At 34.4% G+C, this 18425-nt stretch overlaps 1 long non-coding RNA gene across 1 annotated transcript in view, besides 1 other annotated feature; it reads left to right on the top strand.

Moving 5' to 3' along the window:
* LOC107984478 (uncharacterized) overlaps positions 1–18425 on the top strand; it is a 55308-nt gene that overhangs the window by 9353 nt on the left and 27530 nt on the right. The window lies entirely within an intron of this gene.
* Positions 15303–15804: an enhancer, noted in NCBI's record as "H3K4me1 hESC enhancer chr12:87756845-87757346 (GRCh37/hg19 assembly coordinates)". NCBI's record gives its function as "activates a minimal SCP1, AML or CMV promoter by ChIP-STARR-seq in primed H9 embryonic stem cells {active_cell/tissue: H9 hESC(primed)}" and the evidence as "EXISTENCE:reporter gene assay evidence [ECO:0000049][PMID:30033119]".

Here is an 18425-nt window from a genome sequence, read left to right as displayed (position 1 = left end):
AATTTAAGAAAGTGCAGGCTGTTTTCCAAGGTGACTGCAACATTTTTTACATTACCACTAGCCAATGCTTGTTATTGTATGACTTTTTTATACTAGCCATTCTAGCGGGTGTGAAGTGGTATTTCATTGTGGGTTGATTTACATTTCCCTGATGTCTAATAGAGCATGTTTTCACATGCTTACTGGTTATTTGTATACTTTACTTGGAAAAATGTCTATTTAAATACTTTTCCCATTTTTATTTGGATTGTCCTTTTGTTACTGAGTTATCAGAGTTATTTATATATTCTGGATACAAGTCCCTTATCGGATGTATGAATTACAAATATTTCTCCCAGTCTATGGGTTGTATTTTTTACTGTCTTAATGGTGTCTTGTGAAGCAAAAAGGTTTTTTCACTTGGATGAAGTCCAACTTATCTTTTTTTTCTGCCTTTTGTGTCATATCTAATAATCCATTGCTGAACCCAACATCATATAGGCTTACCACATGACTTCTTGTAATAGTTTTATAGCTTTAGCTCTTCTATTTGGGTCTTTGACTATTTTGAGAAAATTTTTGTGTATGTGTTAGTTAAGGGTCTGACTTCATTCCTTTGCATGTAGCTACACAGTTGACGAAACATCATTTGTTGAAAACACCATTCTTTTTCTCATTGCATGATCTTGACACCCTGATTAAAAATCAATTGACCAAAGATGTGTGGCTTTACTTATGGACTCTCAATTGTATTCCATTTGTTTACATCCTTGTGCCAATTCTGCACTGTGGTGATTATTGTTGCTTTGTCTTAGATTTTGAAATATGAAAGTGTGAAGCTTTCTACCCTGTTATTCATTTTCAAAATTATTTTGACTATTTTGGGTCCCTTGCAATTTTATATGAATTTTAGATGCAGCATGTCAATTTCGACAAAGAATCTTTTGGGGTACTGATAGGGATTGCATTGAATCTGTTGAGCAGTAGACAGTTTGGGAGTGTTGCTGTCTTAACAATGTTAAGTGTTTTGATTCCATAAATACAGAATGTTTCTCTAATTATTTAGAGGTTTAACTTGTTTTAACAATGTTTTGTAGATTTCAGAGTGTAAGTTTTGCACTTCTTTTTTTATATTATTTCTATTTTATATTTTCATACTAGTATAAACTGAATTACTTTCTTAATTTCATTTTCAGATTGTTCAGTGTGTGTATAGAAATATAATTGATATTTGTATTTTGATTTTGAATCTGTCAACCTTGCTGAACTTATTAGTTAGTTTATTTTATATTTTTTATTGTTTTGAGACGTGGTCTTTCCCTGTCACCCAGGCTGGAGTGCAAGGCTGGAATGCAATGGTGTGATCTCAGCACACCACAGCCTCAACCTCCTGCACTCAAGTGATCCTTCAACCTTAACTCTCCCCAGTAGCTCGGACTACAGGCGTGCGGCCACCACACCCTGCTAATTTTTGTATTTTTTGTAGAGTTGTTTTAGAATGTATAATGCAGAATTAATAGGAGTAAAAATTGAAGAATGTGTGTAAATTGGAATTGGATTGAAGTTTGGAGTGAGTGGGGCCTCATGGTATTTAAGTTTGGTGACTGGGTGACAAATGTAGATTAAAAAATACTGCTTTATAGATCCATTCACATTATTATAGCTATTTTTACATTATTTTTTATTTTTCTATATGATCTTTTGACCTAGACACTGCTCTGGGAGTGGACTATTTGAATGAGAGATTTATATGCAGTCAACATGTAAGAATAGAGCTTTGTATTGGTAAGTTGTCATTGAATAACGAATCACTCTAGAAATAAAACAATTTATTATTTATCACCAGCCTATTGGTTAACTAGGCAGTTTTCCTTCTGTAGAACAGGCTCTGCTGATCTTGACTGGGGCTTGTATGCTCGAGATTTAGCTTTCCTCCATATATTCTTTCATCCTCCTACAGGCTAGTCCAGACTTGGTCTCAGGCCTGAGGCAGAAATCCAATGGAAACAGTAGCACACAAGGTTTCTGAGACCTGGATCTTAAAATAACACAACTCACTTTTGCTGCATTTCATTAGTCAAAGTATATACTATGCTCAGCTCATATTCAAGAGATGATGAAAAAAAGAAAAAAGAAACTTTACCTCTTGAAGTAAGGAACTTGAGAATTCACATTCCACAGGATATAAGGACAGGAAAGTTATTGGCTGGGACCATAAATTAAATAAATCTAGTACAATATCTAACATAATTTCAGGCTTAATTTTGTAAATGTTATTCTAAAAATGTGAGAATCTCAGAAGAGCTTCAATTTTCCAAATTCTCATGTTTGAAGCATCTATGTTTCCTTTATTAATAGAGGGACATTTGATATGTAATCTTAGCTTATTGCTCATTAGGACATGTGAATTAAAATGAACAAAGTTAAGCATAAAATGTTTTTAACTGATAGGGTTTTATGGGTTGCTAAAAATAAGATTTAAAACTAAAGTACATTGAGGAAGACAAGAAAAAAAGAATACCTAAAGCCTGTAATCCCAGCACTTCGGAAGGCTGAGACGGGCAGATCACTTGAGGTCAGGAGTTCGAGTTCAGCCTGGCTAACATGGTGAAATCCTGTCTCTACTAAAAGTACAAAAATTAGCTGGGCATGGTAGTGGGCACCTGTAATCCAAGCTACTTGGCAGGCTGAGGCAGGAGAATCACTTGAACCTGGGAGATGCAAGCTGCAGTGAGCCAAGATTGCACCACTGCATTTCAGTCTGGGTGACAGAGTAAGACTCCATCTCACAAAAAAAAAAAAAAAAAAAAAAAAAAGAACTTTCCATGTCTTAGGAAAGATAGGGATACCTGAATCCATGAAGTTCAAAGGTTCTCAAATAGATTCAACCCAAAGAGGTTTTTTCTTTTCAACGCACATGATAATCAAACTGTCAAAGTCAAAGACAAATAGATAAATCTTAAAAGAAGCAAGAGAAAAGCATCATGTCAGAGATGAAGAAATCTTCATTAGACTATCGGTGGATTTCTCAGAAGAAGTCTTGCAGACCATGAGAAAATGGGATGATATATTCAAAGTTCTGAAAGAAAATATCAAAAACCAAGCTAAACTAAACCAAAACAAAAATGCTTGCCAATACTACTACTATGCCAAAAAAATTCTTCAGAAATGAAGGAGAAATAGTCTTTCACAGATAAGCGAAAGCTGAAGAAATTCATTATGGCCAGACGTGCTTCACTGGAAACGCTTAAGGAAGTTCTTCAAGCAGAACCAAAAGGATGATACTTACCATCATCAATACATATGAAAATATAAAACTCACTGATAGAGAAAAGTACATAGTGAAATCCAAAATATTCCAATACTGTAAAGATGAATTATAAATTATACATATCTCCAGCATAAAAGTTAAAGGCACAATAGTCAAAAATAACTAAAGGTATTATAAGTTGTTAAGGAATATGCAATATAAAAGGATGCAAATTATTACATCTGAACATCAACTGTGGGGATGGTAAATGTATAACATTTTTTATGTGACAGAAGTTATCAGTTTAAATGAGTAGATTATAACTATAAAATGTTTTATGTAAGCTGGATATTAACCACAAAACAAAAAGCTACAGCAGATATACAAATGATAAAGAAAAAGAAATCAAAGCTTAGCACCATAGAAAAATATAATATCACAAAGGTAGACAACAAGAGAGGAAGAAATCTGCTACAATCCAACTAGAAAATAACAAAATGGTAGTGTAAGTCCTTAGCTATCAATAAGAACACTAAATGTAAATGGATTAATTTCTCAAAAGACGTAAAATAGCTGAATTAATAAAAAAGGAAACAATATCCAACTATATGCTGACTACAAATGACCCACTTAAGCTTTGTGGATAACATAGTGGAAAATGAAAGGACAATAGATATTCCATGTAAATAGTGACCAAAAGAGAGCAGGGGTGGCTATTCTTATATCTGATAAAATAGACTTCAAAACAAAAGCTGTCACAAGAGACAAAGAAGGTTATTATTTAACAATAAAGTGGTAAGTTTGTAAAAAAGATGTAACCACTGCAAATGTTTCTGTATCCAACATTGGAGCACCTAAGTACATAAAGCAAATTATAATGAGGGTGAAGGGAGAAATAGATAGCAATATGTTAATAATAGGGAACTTCAGTATTCCACTTTGAACAATAAATAGATAAACCAAACGGAAAGTCAATAAGGAAATACCGGACTTGAATTCAATTATTTATCAAATAGACTTAATAGATATATACAGATTATTTCATCTAACAGTAGCAGAATACACATTTTCTTCCAATGTACATGGAAAATGCTCCAGGACAGACCATAAGTTAGGCCACAAAAAAGTCTTAACAAATTTAAGAAGATTTAAATATTATCTAGTATCATTTCAGACCAGAAGGTTATGAAGCTGGAAACCAATAATGGGAAGAAGCTTGCAAAGTTCACAAATATGTTGAAATTAAACAATATGCTCCTGAGCCATCAAAATGTCAAAGAATAAATCAAAAGAGAAATTTAAAAATATCTTGAGAAAAATGACAATGAAAATACAACATACCAAAACCTATGGGATGCAGAAAAAGCAGTTCAAAAAGAAAATTTATATCAATAAATGCCTCATTAAAAAGATGTTCAAAGCACATAGTCCAACATTACACATTTAGAAGCCAGAAAAAGTAGAACAAACTAAATTTAGAATTAGCAGAAGGAAGGAAATAATAAAAATCAGAATATAAATAAATTGAGAACAGAAGAATCATAAAAAGAAAAAACTAAGAGTTTTAAAAATAAATATTTGACAAATGCTTAGCAAGTTTAATATAAAAAGAGAAAATGCAAAAATAATGAAAAATGGAAGTGAATAAATTACAATGGATGCCTCAGAAATAAAAAAATGATCGTAAGAGACTCTGAATAATAATTATATAACAACAAATTAGATAACCTAGAGTAAATAAATAAGTTCCTAGGAAAATACACACCTTCCAAGATTGAGTCAAAGAGAATTAGAAAGACTGAACAGACCAATAACAGATGAAGAGATTGAAGAAGTACTAAAAAACCTACCTGCAAAACATCTTCACAACCAGATGGCTTCACAGCTGAATTCTAACATACATTCAAAAAAATTAATACCTATACTTCTTAAATTCTTCTGGAAAATAGAACTAGAGGGAATACTTACAAACACATTTTATGAGGCCAAAATCACTTTGATACTTAAGCCAAAGACATCACAAGACAAAAATTATCTACAAATCAAGGTCTCTGATGAATATTGATGCAAATATCCTCAATGAAATATTAGTAAAACAATTCCAATAGCACATCAAAAAGATTATACATTATAATCAAGTGAGATTCATTCTGTCATGTGAAGCAGGTTTAACAAATGCAAATCAACCAATGTACTACATCACATTAATAGAGTAAAAGTTAAAAGCCACAAGATTATTTTATTTAATATGGAAACAGCATTCAACAAAGTCCAACATTTCTTCTTGAAATATATTCTCAACTGTTTTGGTATAGAAAAAAGTTTTTTGACTTAATAAATGTCATTTATGAAACACCCACAACTAACATTATAATCAATAGGAAAAAATGAAAAGCATTTCCAGTAAGATTGGGTTCAAGGTAAGGATGCCCACTCTTGCCACTTTTATTTATCATAGTAATGGAAGTACTGACAGAAGCAATCAGATTAGAAAAAATAAAGCATCCAAATCAGAATTGGAGAACTAAAATTATTTATATTTTCAGATTATATTATTCTATATGTATATTCCAAAGATTCCATGAAAAACGTTAGAAATAATAAATGAATTCAATAAAGTTGCAGAATAAAAAATTAACATGCAAAAGTTAACATACGGAAAAGAAATCAATAAAATAATCCTATTTATTATAACATAAAAATAAAATAATTAGGAATAAATTTAACAAAAGAGTTCAAAGATCTGCTCACTGAAAACTATAAAATATTGATGACAAAAACTGAAGAAGGCACAAGTAATGGAAAGATATCTTATGCTCATGGAATAGAAGAATTAAAATTGTTAAAATGCCTAAACTACCCAAAGCAACATACTGGTTCAGTGTAATCCATAGCAAAATCTCAAGGGCATTCTTCATAGAAATAGAAAACAAAAATTCCAAAATTTATTTGGAATAATAAAAAACCCCAAATAGTTAAAACAATTCTCTGAAAGGAAAACAAATTTGGAGATACCACACTTCCTGATTTAAAATTATATTACAAGTCTATGTCAATTAAAACAGTATGATACTAGCATAACAATGGACACATAGACTAGTGGAACAGAATAGAGAGCCCAGAAATAGATGCAAACATATATGAGCAACTAATTTGCAACAAGAGCACCAAGAAGACACAATGAGAAAAAAAATATTCTCTTTACTAAATGGTTCTGGGAAAACTGGATTTCTGCATGAATAAAGTCATGAAATTGGACTGGGTGCAGTGGTTCATGCCTGTAATTCATGCATTTTGGGAGGCCGAGGCAGGAGGGTTGCTTGAGCCCCGGAGTTTGAGACCAGCCTGGGCAACATAATGAGATGTTTTCTCTATTAAAACAACAAAACAAACAAACAACAACAAAAAAAAAAAACAAAAAAAGAATAAAATTGGACCCTTACCTTGCACCATACACAAAACATCCTAGATGACAACATAGGGTCAAAGCTCCTGGACATTGTCCTTAATAATGATTTTTTTGGATATTATACCACAAAATATCGGCCACAAAAACAAAAATAAATACGGCTAGATCGAACTAAAATTTTTCTGCACAGCACAGGGAAGAATCAACAAAATGAAACAGCAGCCTATGGATTGGGAAAAAAAAATTGCAAACCATATATTTGATAAGGGGTTAATATCTAAACTTTATAAGGAACTCATGCAACTCAATGAAAAGAAAACCCAATTAAAAAAATGAACAAAAGACTTGAGTAGACATTTCTTCAAAGAAGACATAAAAATGGTATATTAAACAGGTATATGAAAAGGTGCTCCACATCATTAATCATCAGGGAACTGCAAATCAAAACCACTATAAAATGTCACCACACACCCTTTAGGATGGCTGTTATCAAAAGCCAAATTTTAAATGTTAGTGAGAGTGTGGGGAAAAAAGGAACTATTGTACACCGTTTGTGGAAATGTAGATTAGTACCACCATTATGAAAAAGAAAATAGAGGTTTCTAAAAAATTACAAATAAAACTACCATATGACATGGCATTTTCCGTTCTGTGTATATACTATATCCAAATGAAATTCAATTAATGCCTTGTAAAATATCTGCACTCTCATGTAAATTGCAGCATTATTTCCAATAGCCAAAATGTGGAAACAATCCTAGCGTCCATTGATGGATGGATAAATGGATAAAGAAACTGTTCTACAAACATATAATGGAATACTATTCAGTCCTGACAAAGAACAAGCTATTGCCACTTGCCCCAACATGAATAAACCTGGAGGATATTATTCTATATGAAATAAGCCAGATACAGAAAGAAAATTACTGCATGATCTCACTTATACGTGAAATCAAAAAAAAAAATCAAATACACAGAGATAGAGAACCAAACTGGTTATGAGCACCAGGGACTGGGGAGGAAATAGGCATATGTAGGCCAGAGGATACAAAGTAGTAGATATGTAGGATGAACAAGTATAGAATTCTAATGTACAACATGAGGATTAAAGGTAATAAAATTGTACAGTATATGGAATTCATGCCCAATGAGTAGATTTTAGCTTTTATTGCCACAAAAACAAGAAAAATGGGTAATTTCATAAGATGATAGATTTTCCCCACCATAGTAACCCTGTTACCATCTATATGTATCCCATAACATCATGTTGTATACCTAAATATACATAATATAATTTACTTTGTTTAAAAAAAAACTAAAACACATTGCATTTGCATTGTAATTTCTGGAAATTTTTTGGTGATTTTTTTGTCATTTTCATGCTTGTTTACTAGACGAATGTGAGTTTCAGTTTGGCTGGGAATTAAATACCCAAAGTAGCAATTATTCATACAAGTTTATTTCTGTTATCTAGAATTCAGAGTCAGAGGCCAGGGCTGTAAGACATTCCATGGGGTCAGGATCTAGGCTTCTTTCTTTTTGTTGCACCATTACCTCATAACTTTTTGTTTGTTTCTTAATAAAATTTTAATTTCAGAGTACATTTAGATTTCAATAAAAGTTACAAAGATAATATGGAAATTTAAAGTATACCCCTCACCACGTTTCCCTGACGGTTAACCGTGTAAGAAACCAATATCAGTACATTGCTATTAACTAAAATTCAGACTATGTTTACATTTTACCAGCTTGTCTATTAATGTCTCTTTCTGTTCCAAGATCCAATCAAGGGTACAATAAACACTTATTTGTCATGTCTATGAAGTCTCCTCTGGTCTGTGACAATGTTTCAATCTTCACATCTTTCCCATGACCTTGAGGTATACTGGTCAGATAGCCAGCAGACTGCCTCCCAATCTGGGTTTGCTTGATATTTTTTCATAATTAAACTCGGGTTATTGATTTTTGGCAAGAATACTACAGAGGTGAAGTGCCCTTCTCATCACATCACATGAGTGGATACACATTATTATTGATGATATCAATCATCACTTGGTTATGGTACCGTGTTTTTTAGATTTCTTCACTCTTAAATTACTTTGTTTCCTTTTTCATATACTGTATTCTATTTTTTGGAAGCATGTCACTAGGTTTAGCACATCCTTAAGGGGGAAGAGATTAAGCTCCTTTTGGAGTGGGGAGACATTACATATGTTAAGAGGAAGTCTGTAAGGAAGTAAGGAATATTTACCTCTTCTATCTAATTTTATTCATCATTTAATTACTTATTTTTATCATTATGGCTCATTGGTATTTATTTTACACTTTGAGTTGTAATTCATTATTACATTCCTCATTTTGTTGCTCAGATTTCCCAGTTATGACAATTGGGAGCTACTTCAGATTGCCTTCAATTTCTCTTAACATGTTACCATCCTTTTGTATTTTTTAGAAAGTCCTTACATTCAAAGATGCTCCAGAATTACATTTTTCTTGTCCCAATTAGAATAAGTCGTTTCTCCAATAAGCTTTAGTTCCTTTTATGAAAAACATACTTAGAAATCAAGACTTGCGCATTAGGTGTGCTTGTTGCTTCTGAGGTGTCACTGATTCTAGGCTCTTTTAGCAAGTAGAACTAGGTAATAATAACAAATACTTAGAATAATAATTCTAAGTATCTTCTCTGTGTGGACATACACACATATATATGCATACATGTATATATATACACACAAACACACACACACACCTAAACCAAACTTAAATTCATTCTTATGTCACTGCCTCTAATTGAGTACCATATTATTTTTATAACATTCCTTTCTTGCTTATGTGTAATTTACCTCTCTGACAGTAAAAAAATCGCTGTCAGCCTCATCTATCCATTTACTTGTTTTATCTTATTGTACATATCATGCCTTTTTGACCTCGTGGTGTAAGATAACAATCTGAATGTTACAGGCAATAGAATGAAGATAGGAATGTAGAATTATAGTCAAAGAACACATGAAATTTTCTTTAAGAAAGGTCCAGAAGCTGCCTCACAAGTTTTTTGCTTATATTTTATTGGCCAGAAATTAGTCACAAGGTGACATCAAGCTGAAAGAAAGTTTAGGAAATATAAGCTGTCCTGAGCAGTGAAATGCCAAGCTTAACACCCCCCGCCCTCCACATACACACGCACGATTACTATGAATGTTAGGAAAATAAAAAGGAAGAGAAATTAGAAGATATTTAAGAATCTCTTCCGTACATTTCCTGTGTGTGTATATATATCCATATATATGTTTCTAAATATTATATATTGTTATTGTAATTAATGAAATAAGGAAAGAAGTATTCAATATTATAATTAGTTTGGGAATTATAGAAGCCCATTTAGATAGACTGAGACGATGATTGTTATCTTTAAAATCCATATTTCATATCCCTTCATCTTTAGCCTCTTATATAGTCCAGGTTACTTTAAATAAATGAACACATGATTAATAGATTTAAAGTCAAATGGGTCTAGGAATTAGGTTGGAAAAAAAGTGATACAGGCTATCATTTAGGAATCTGGAGAGACAATTTCACCACATTTTCTAAAATTGTCTTTAAATATATGAAGGAAATAGCACTTTCATTTTTATATCACTGTTTCCCCTTTTCTCTTAACAAGGATTGTGAGCAGTGACATTAATCTGTTGACTGTTGCTGAATATATCAGATACGCTTCATAAATGTGCACCTGCTGTGCTGCTGAAAGAACTTGGTATTTTCTGATGCTCCATTGAATACAATGGACTGACAGCTTAAAGTGGCAGAAAGAAAGGTAGGTGGGAGGAAAGTCCAAGAGTAAATGGGTTAATAATATACCATAATACACTCTTCATTGAAACCAGTTATTACTGAAAAGAATGGAGGAACAACAAAGTCTTAAATAAAGGCTATCTTATGAAATGTAATAACACTAGAACTTGTACTAAAATAGATATACTCTTCAGACTGAACTGATTATAAATTTCTAAATGCATGGTACTGTGTTTTCTTTTAAAAAAATCTGAGTTATTTAGAGGTGACAGCCTTGAGCATGAACTAGCCAAGTTATGCATAATACTTACTCAACATTAAAATGCAAAGAATTTATATCAAAAATGGCATATTATATTCCCATATGTAACATCACATTTTTAAAGTTTCAACAAAAGGCCTATAAAACCTCTGTATATAGCTGCATAATGGTTCCCAATTGTTCTGAAAATAGCTCAGTCCATGGAAAACATTATAAAGAAATTTCATTCAGCCCTAAATATATCTATTCCTTTGACATAGTCATAGAAATTCAAGCATGAGAATGAATACAAAATAGGCCTTATGAAACCTGAAATGGGATTTTCCTGTATTTTAAAATTATATGTCCCTTCTAAGAAGTGAGAAGATTTGGAGATAATTCAATTTAAGCTTACTAGAAACATGAACCTTAATGGTGAAGGTATTCCAGTAATTAGTTTTTCCTTCCTAATTATAGTTGTGAAAATGTGCTTTCTTTTCTTTTCTTTTTGATTTCTGAATATTTTACTATTCAAAAGAAAAATATCATACATTAGAAATAATTGAAATTTTTTCACTTAAGCAGAACACAGAATATTTACATCCTTCAGCTTCATATTTATTATATCAAATTTATACTAATAAAATCTTTATTCGTATAGAAAAATACCTAAAATTTTGTCAATTAGTAACAATAATGATAATCAGAATACTAATAGAAAAGAAAAAAAGTTTTTCTATGTGTTTTGTTCTTCTAATTTCTGTGGTGAGGTAAAAGTATTTTTAATATTCAGATATCATTGCAACAATAAGCTTTTAATAATATACATTTTAAAATATTTCACATTTAGTATGTTTTGCTGAATTATACTAACACTGCTTACTTTGGTCATTGTTTTATTCATGAAACTGTGCTATAATTATTTCTCTCAATGATATTTAATCTATCTGCATAATTATTATATTCCAGATAATTATTACATTTCCCCCTTAAATTTTTCTTGGCTAAACTTTACATACTCAATCCTTTTAAGTTTATATTCCCTCCTAAGAACATTACTCTGGCTTGTCCAGACATCTTAAGAGTTCCTCTTTAGGGAAAGATTTTTGCCATTTCAGGGATAGTGGTGTTAGAAAGAGCTTGATGTATAGCCTTTTTTCTGATTCTGTGGTGTATATATTTTTCCCAGCATTATTTCAACCTAAGAGATATACATTTGGCCTTTGAGAGTTCATAGAAGGGTCCAGTTCATCATTGAATCTATTTATTCCTTTTTTCTGGTCAATTGCTTTATAACCTATTAGATTATGCTATGATAATTATTGCCATGTTATTAAGTAACCCCTGAATTGCTCTTAATGGTTATTTCCTGTCATTATCACTATATGTATGCATGGTTTTCCACATTACAACATGACTTCAATGAAAGTTAGAAACTGCTCTATCTTTGAATTGATATTGACTTTCTCAACACAATTTCCTATTCCAACAGTGCTTGACTTTTTTATGAATGTTAGTATGTCAGCATGATTTCATTATTCCATTTCTTCCTTCACTTCTACTATCTTTAATTACTTGATTCAACACATGAAATGAATTCTCTTCTGAAATACTTTTTCCACTCCTCTGATGACGTCTTTTAAGTTCCTCATCACAGGCTCCTCTTCCTTTAGCAACCCTATAACTGAGTGTTTCCCATATTTCAATATATAAAATAATAAGAGCGTGTTTTTTTTTAAAATGTAGTCTCCTAGACTTGACTAACAAATTCTGATTTAGTAGGTTTGCCCCCCACTTCAGGTGTAACATTTTTGTAAGCACCAAGAGAATTTTCATGTGGATGATTCATGGATCACATTTGGATAAACACTTCATAAATCTTTTTCTTTAAGGCTCTGTCTCATGCCCTTTCCTTTAGTGATATTATCTTCTCTAGCTTAAATATGCAATGGACCTAAGAATCTACATCTCAAGTCTTGTCTGAATATAATTACCAAACACACTCTTTAAAGCATTGAAGATGTTAGCATAACATCAAGACCACTGGCTAAATGTGACAAAATATTTTATTTGTATTTATTTACAAACAAAATATTTTATTTGTATTTATTTACAAAACTATAGTGGTATTTAGCAGATCAAACTTTTCATAGGGTTCTCCCAAAAAGCAGACAGATAGCCCACACAAGAAAAAAACTAAAAGCAATTGGTTTAAAAAACAAAAGCAAAAACAAAAAATACAAATAAAAAACATGGTAATATGTGAATGTGTTGTGAAATTGCTTAGAGAATAAATGGGCATTAGGAAAAATATTTTAATTTGTTCCCAGGTCTTTAGGTGTACTAAAATGTCTTCACCATTGTTTTACAATATATAGCATCTCATAGAAAGAAAAAACTGTTGTCAATTTAAAGTCGCCTAATTTCAAAACTATAATAGTTCTGCTTGACTAGCTATATGAATAGTTAGTGGTTTAAGCTCTCTAACCCTCCACCTGCCTATTCTTGAAAGAGGCATGCAACTGTACACATGTTAAGCTCTCTAACCTTTCACCTGCCTATTCTTGAAAGAGGCATGCAATTGTATACATGTTAAGCCTATAGATTCCTGACTAATCTGACTTAGACCTTATTAATTACAAACTAACAGACTTTTTGGAAGCTCATTAAGGAAACAAGTTAGCTCACTAAATTGTCACTCTTCCATGATCTCTGTCTTTTTGAGCCAAATTGGTGAATCACTTGCATTAACATCTGCCACTAACTTGAAAGGCATTGCACTCCCACATCAGTCTCATCCTCACATTCCACCCTCCCCAAGATATTTAATATTCTCCTTAACCTCATATGTATTTTCTATTAATATTTTTATGGGAAATGTTGTTGTATTTTAGGATTGGAATATCCTCATTTAATGCTAAATTCATATTTTATTTGGCATTTTATGTTTGAATAATTAATTCATTTTATGCCTGATATGTGGTTTGAGATTTTTTTTCCAAATTGTCAATCAACTATTCTAACATATTATTAAACCATTTCTTCTTTCCTCGCTAACTTTGATACTTTATCAAAGATTAGATTATTAAATAGACCTGTGTTTTATTTTTGATTGTCAATTTCCTCATCAATCTCAATTTTTTCATCAATAACTTCAGTGATTATGCCATGGCTAATTTATTTGTATTATTATCTAAAGGAGTCATTAAGCTCCTCATTGCTCCAAATTTAAAATTCAAATATTTATTGCAGCCTATTAGTTATCCAAATACATTTCAGAGTAATTTTTACAAATTGCAAACAATTATCTGGAGAAACTATTGCAATTAGTTTAAGTTTAGAAATTATTTTACCGAGAATTTGGAAATTCTTTTATCTTAGTCTTTTCTTGGTTCAAATACATAACATTTGAAATTCTGCTAATTCAATCTGCTAGCATATCTAGCCGCCCAGGCCAGAGTGCAGTGGTGCCATCTTGGCTCACTGCAACCACCTGGGTTCAAGCGATTCTCCCGTCTCAGCCTCCCGAGTAGCTGTGATTACAAGCGCCTGTCACCATGCTGAGCTAATTTTTGTATTTCAGTAGAGATGGTTTTTCACCAGGTTGGCCAGGCTGGTCTTGAACTCCTGATCCCTGGTGATCTGCCCACTTTGACCTCCCAAAGTGCTAGGATTACAGGCGTGAGCCACCACACCCGGCCACACATCTTTTGTGTGTAAATAAAGCTACAAGGATTGTTATAACCTGGGGTGCTACAGATGCAGTGCTTGGGCCTTATGGGATTGAAAAGGCTGAGCAGATAAGACGACGAGGCTTGGACCTAAGACTGGAGATGAGGGATACAGAGAGTTCCACAGCATATGGCAGGATGAGTAACTGGTGTAGACAGAGGACCAGATCCAATCTCGTCTTATTTCCCATCCTCATTTAACTTTAAGACTTCTAAAAACTGGGACCTGGGAATTAGAGAATGAAAGGAAAATCTGGGGAAAAAATTTGAATTTACAAGTTCATTCTCAATTGGTAAGGTTATATTGTTTTGATTTGTAGCATGAGGGCTTGGGATAAAAATTACAATTTTGGAGGGGTGGAGCCAAGATGGCTGACTAGAAACAGTGTCTTTTGGAGGCTCCCATAGAAAAAAACCATAATATGTATGTGAATCTTTCACCAGCACCCAAGGTATCCAGGTTCTCTCATCAAAATTGACTAGAATGCTGATGTGACCCACGGAGAGAAGGAAGAGCAGTGTGGTGTGGTGACCTACATGAGAATCACATGGGGAAGGGGAAACCCCTTCCCCCATCCAAGGGAGGCAGTGAGTGAGAGTGCCACCCAGCGGGGCAAACTGTGCTTTTTCTATGGAACTGTGCAAGCCACAGATTGGAAGATCCCATTCGTGAACCCACGCTGCCACCAGGGCCTAGCATCCCAACCCCGGAATGCGCAGATCCTTACCCCCTCTCAGGTGGAATCTGCTTAAGCCTACTGAACTCCTCTGGGGAGGGGTGACCAGCACCAGCTGCCCCTATCTGCTGTCTAAACCATTTGAGCTTCTTGGGCGAGGGGCAGCAGCCAGCACTGGGACTCGCAACTGCCTAACATGCTAAGCTCCCTGGGTGGGGGAAGGAGGGCACCCATTGCTATAGCTCTGGTCTGTGCTTTTCCCCTGCTGAAGCCAGGGAGGCTGGACAGCTTGGTCCCAAGACTTGTCCCCACAGCCCAACACTGGCTGTGGCAGTCTGCAGCCAGTGTGCCTCTGTAGGTCTAACCCTGACCCATCCTTCCTCAGTGGGTGGGACTTTCTTGGCAGGATCTCCAATAACTTCGGCTAGAGGCTCAGGTTCATGATTCGGATCTCCCTTGCCCTGAGTTCCTAGGGGGAGGTGTGGCCGCAGTCTCTGTGGACCAGCAGACTTAGCCTCTCCTCCTGGTAGTTCTGAGGAATCCAGGCAGCCCAGACAAGTGGGTTTTGCCCCAGTGAAACACACCCTCTCCACCAAGGGACAAAATACTTAGTTAAACAGGTCCTGCTCCCCATGCCACCCAACTGGGTGAGACCTCCCCCAACAGGGCTTGTCAGACACCCTATACAGGAGCGATCCTACTGGTATCAGGCTGGTGCCCCTAGAGGTCAGAAGTCCCCAGAAGAAGGAGCAGGTGCCCATTTTTGCTGCTCTCCAGCCTCCTTGAATGACATCTCCAGGCATGGGAGCAAATCAGATGAACAAGGCCTGAAGCGAAACCCCAGAAAACTGCAGCAGACCTACAGAAGAGGGACACTATTGAGAGAAAAACAAACAAGCATAAAGCAACAACAACATCATCATCATCAACAACAACAACAAAAGGCCCCCACAAAAACCCCATCCAAGGGTCAGCAGCTTCAAAGAGCAAAACTAGACAAACTCACGAATGTGAGAAATAATCAATGAAAAAATGCTGAAAACCCAAAAAGTCAGAGTGCCTCTTCTCCTCCAAATGATCGCAACATCTCTCCATTAAGGGTGCAGAACTGGACGGAGCGTCAGATGGATGAATTGACAGAAGTAGGCTTCAGAAGATGAGTAATAAAAAACTATATGAGCTAAAGGAGCATGTTCTAACCCAATGCAAAGAAGTTAAGAACTTTGATAAAAGGTTAGAGTAATTGCGAACTAGAATAACCAGTTTACAGAGGAATATAAATGATGTGATGGAGCTGAAAAACACAGCACAAGAACTTCATGAAGCATACACAAGTACCAACAGCCAAATTGACCAAGTAGAAGAAAGGATATCAGAGTTTAGAGACCACCTTAATGAAATAACATATGCAGACAAGAAGAGAGAAAAAAGAATGAAAAGGAATGAACAAAGCCTCCAAGAAATATGGGCCTTCATAAAAAGACTAAACCTATGATTGATTGGAGTACCAGCTGGGAACAAGCTGGAAAACACATTTCAGGATATTATCTAGAAATTCCCCAACCTAGTAAAACAGACCAACATGCAAATTCAGGAAATACAGAGAACAAAACAGGCCAACATGAAAATTCAGGAGCTACAGAGAACACCATTAAGATACTCCACAAGAAGATCATCCCCAAGACATATAATCATCAGATTCTCCAAGGTCGAAATGCAGGAAAAACTGTTAAGGGCAGCCAGAGAGAAAGGCCAGGTCGCCTATGAAGGGAAGCCCATTAGACTAACAGCAGACCTCTCAATGGAATCTCTAAAGCCAGAAGAGATCAGGAGCCATATTCAACATTATTAAAGAAAAGAATTTTCAATCCAGAATTTCATATCCAGTCAAACTAAGCTTCATAAGTGAAGGAGAAATAAAAGCCTTTCCAGACAAGCAAATGCTGACGGATTTTGTTACCACCATTTCATTAGCCCTGCAATCGCTCCTGAAAGAATCACTAAATATGGAAAGGAAAAACCAGTACCAGCCACTGCAAAAACACACTAAAATATAAAGACCAATGACACTATGAAGAAACTGCATCAACTAGTGTGCAAAATAACCAAACAGCATCATGATGACAGGATCAAATTCACACATGGGCCAAATGGACTAAATGCCCCAATTAAAAGACACAGACTGAAAAATTGGAAAAGGAGTCAAGACCCATTGGTGTGCTGTATTCAGGAGACCCATCTTACTTGCAAAGACACACACAGGCTCAAAATAAAGGGATGCAGGAAAATTTACCAAGCAAATGGAAAGCAAAAACAGAAAAAAAAAAAAGCAGGGGTTGCAATCCTACTCTCTGACAAAACAGACTTTAAACCAACAAAGATCAAAAAAGGCAAAGAAGAGAATTACATAATGGTAAAGGTAACAATTCAACAAGAAGAGCTAACTATTCTGAATATATGTGCACCCAATACAGGAGCACCCAGATTCATAAAATAAGTTCTTAGAGACCTACAAAGAGAATTAGATTCCTACACAATAATAGTGGGAGACTTTTATCACCCCACTGTCAGTTTTGGACAGATCAATGAGATAGAAAATTAACAAGGATATTCAGGACTTGAACTCAGGTCTGGATCAAGTGGACCTAGTAGACATCTACAGAACTCTCTACCCCAAATCAACAGAAAGTACATTCTTCTCAGTGCCACATGGCATTTATTCTAAAATCGACCACATAATTGGAAGTAAAAGACTCCTCAGCAAATGCAAAAGAACTGAAACCATATAAATAGTCTCTTGGACCACAGTGCAATCAAATTAGTACTCAGGATTAAGAAACTCACTCAAAACCGCACCATTACAGGGAAATTGAATAACAAGAGACAACATACCAGAATCTCTGGGACACAGCTAAAGCAGTGTTAAGAGGGAAATTTATAGCACTAAATGCCCACATTAGAAAGCTGGAAAGATCTCAAATTGACACTATAACATCACAATTAAAAGAGCTAGAGAGGCAAGAGCAAACGAATCCAAAAGTTAGCAGAAGACAAGAAATAACTAAAATCAGAGAAGAATTGAAGATGATAGAGACATGAAAAACCCTCCTAAAAATCAATTAATCCAGAAGCTGGTTTTTTGAAAAGATTAACAAAATAGATAGACTTCTAGCTCGACTAATAAGAAGAGAGAGAGAGAGCAGAATCAAGTAGACATAATAAAAAATGTTAAAGGGGATATCACCAGTGACCACACAGAAATACAAACTACCATCAAGAATACCATAAACACCTCTATGCAAATAAACTAGAAAATCTAGAAAAAAATGGATAAATTCCTGGATGC

This window comes from Homo sapiens, chromosome 12, assembly GCF_000001405.40.
Source record: "Homo sapiens chromosome 12, GRCh38.p14 Primary Assembly".
Taxonomy (NCBI): domain Eukaryota; kingdom Metazoa; phylum Chordata; class Mammalia; order Primates; family Hominidae; genus Homo; species Homo sapiens.
This window is presented reverse-complemented; position numbering and strand designations above follow the sequence as displayed.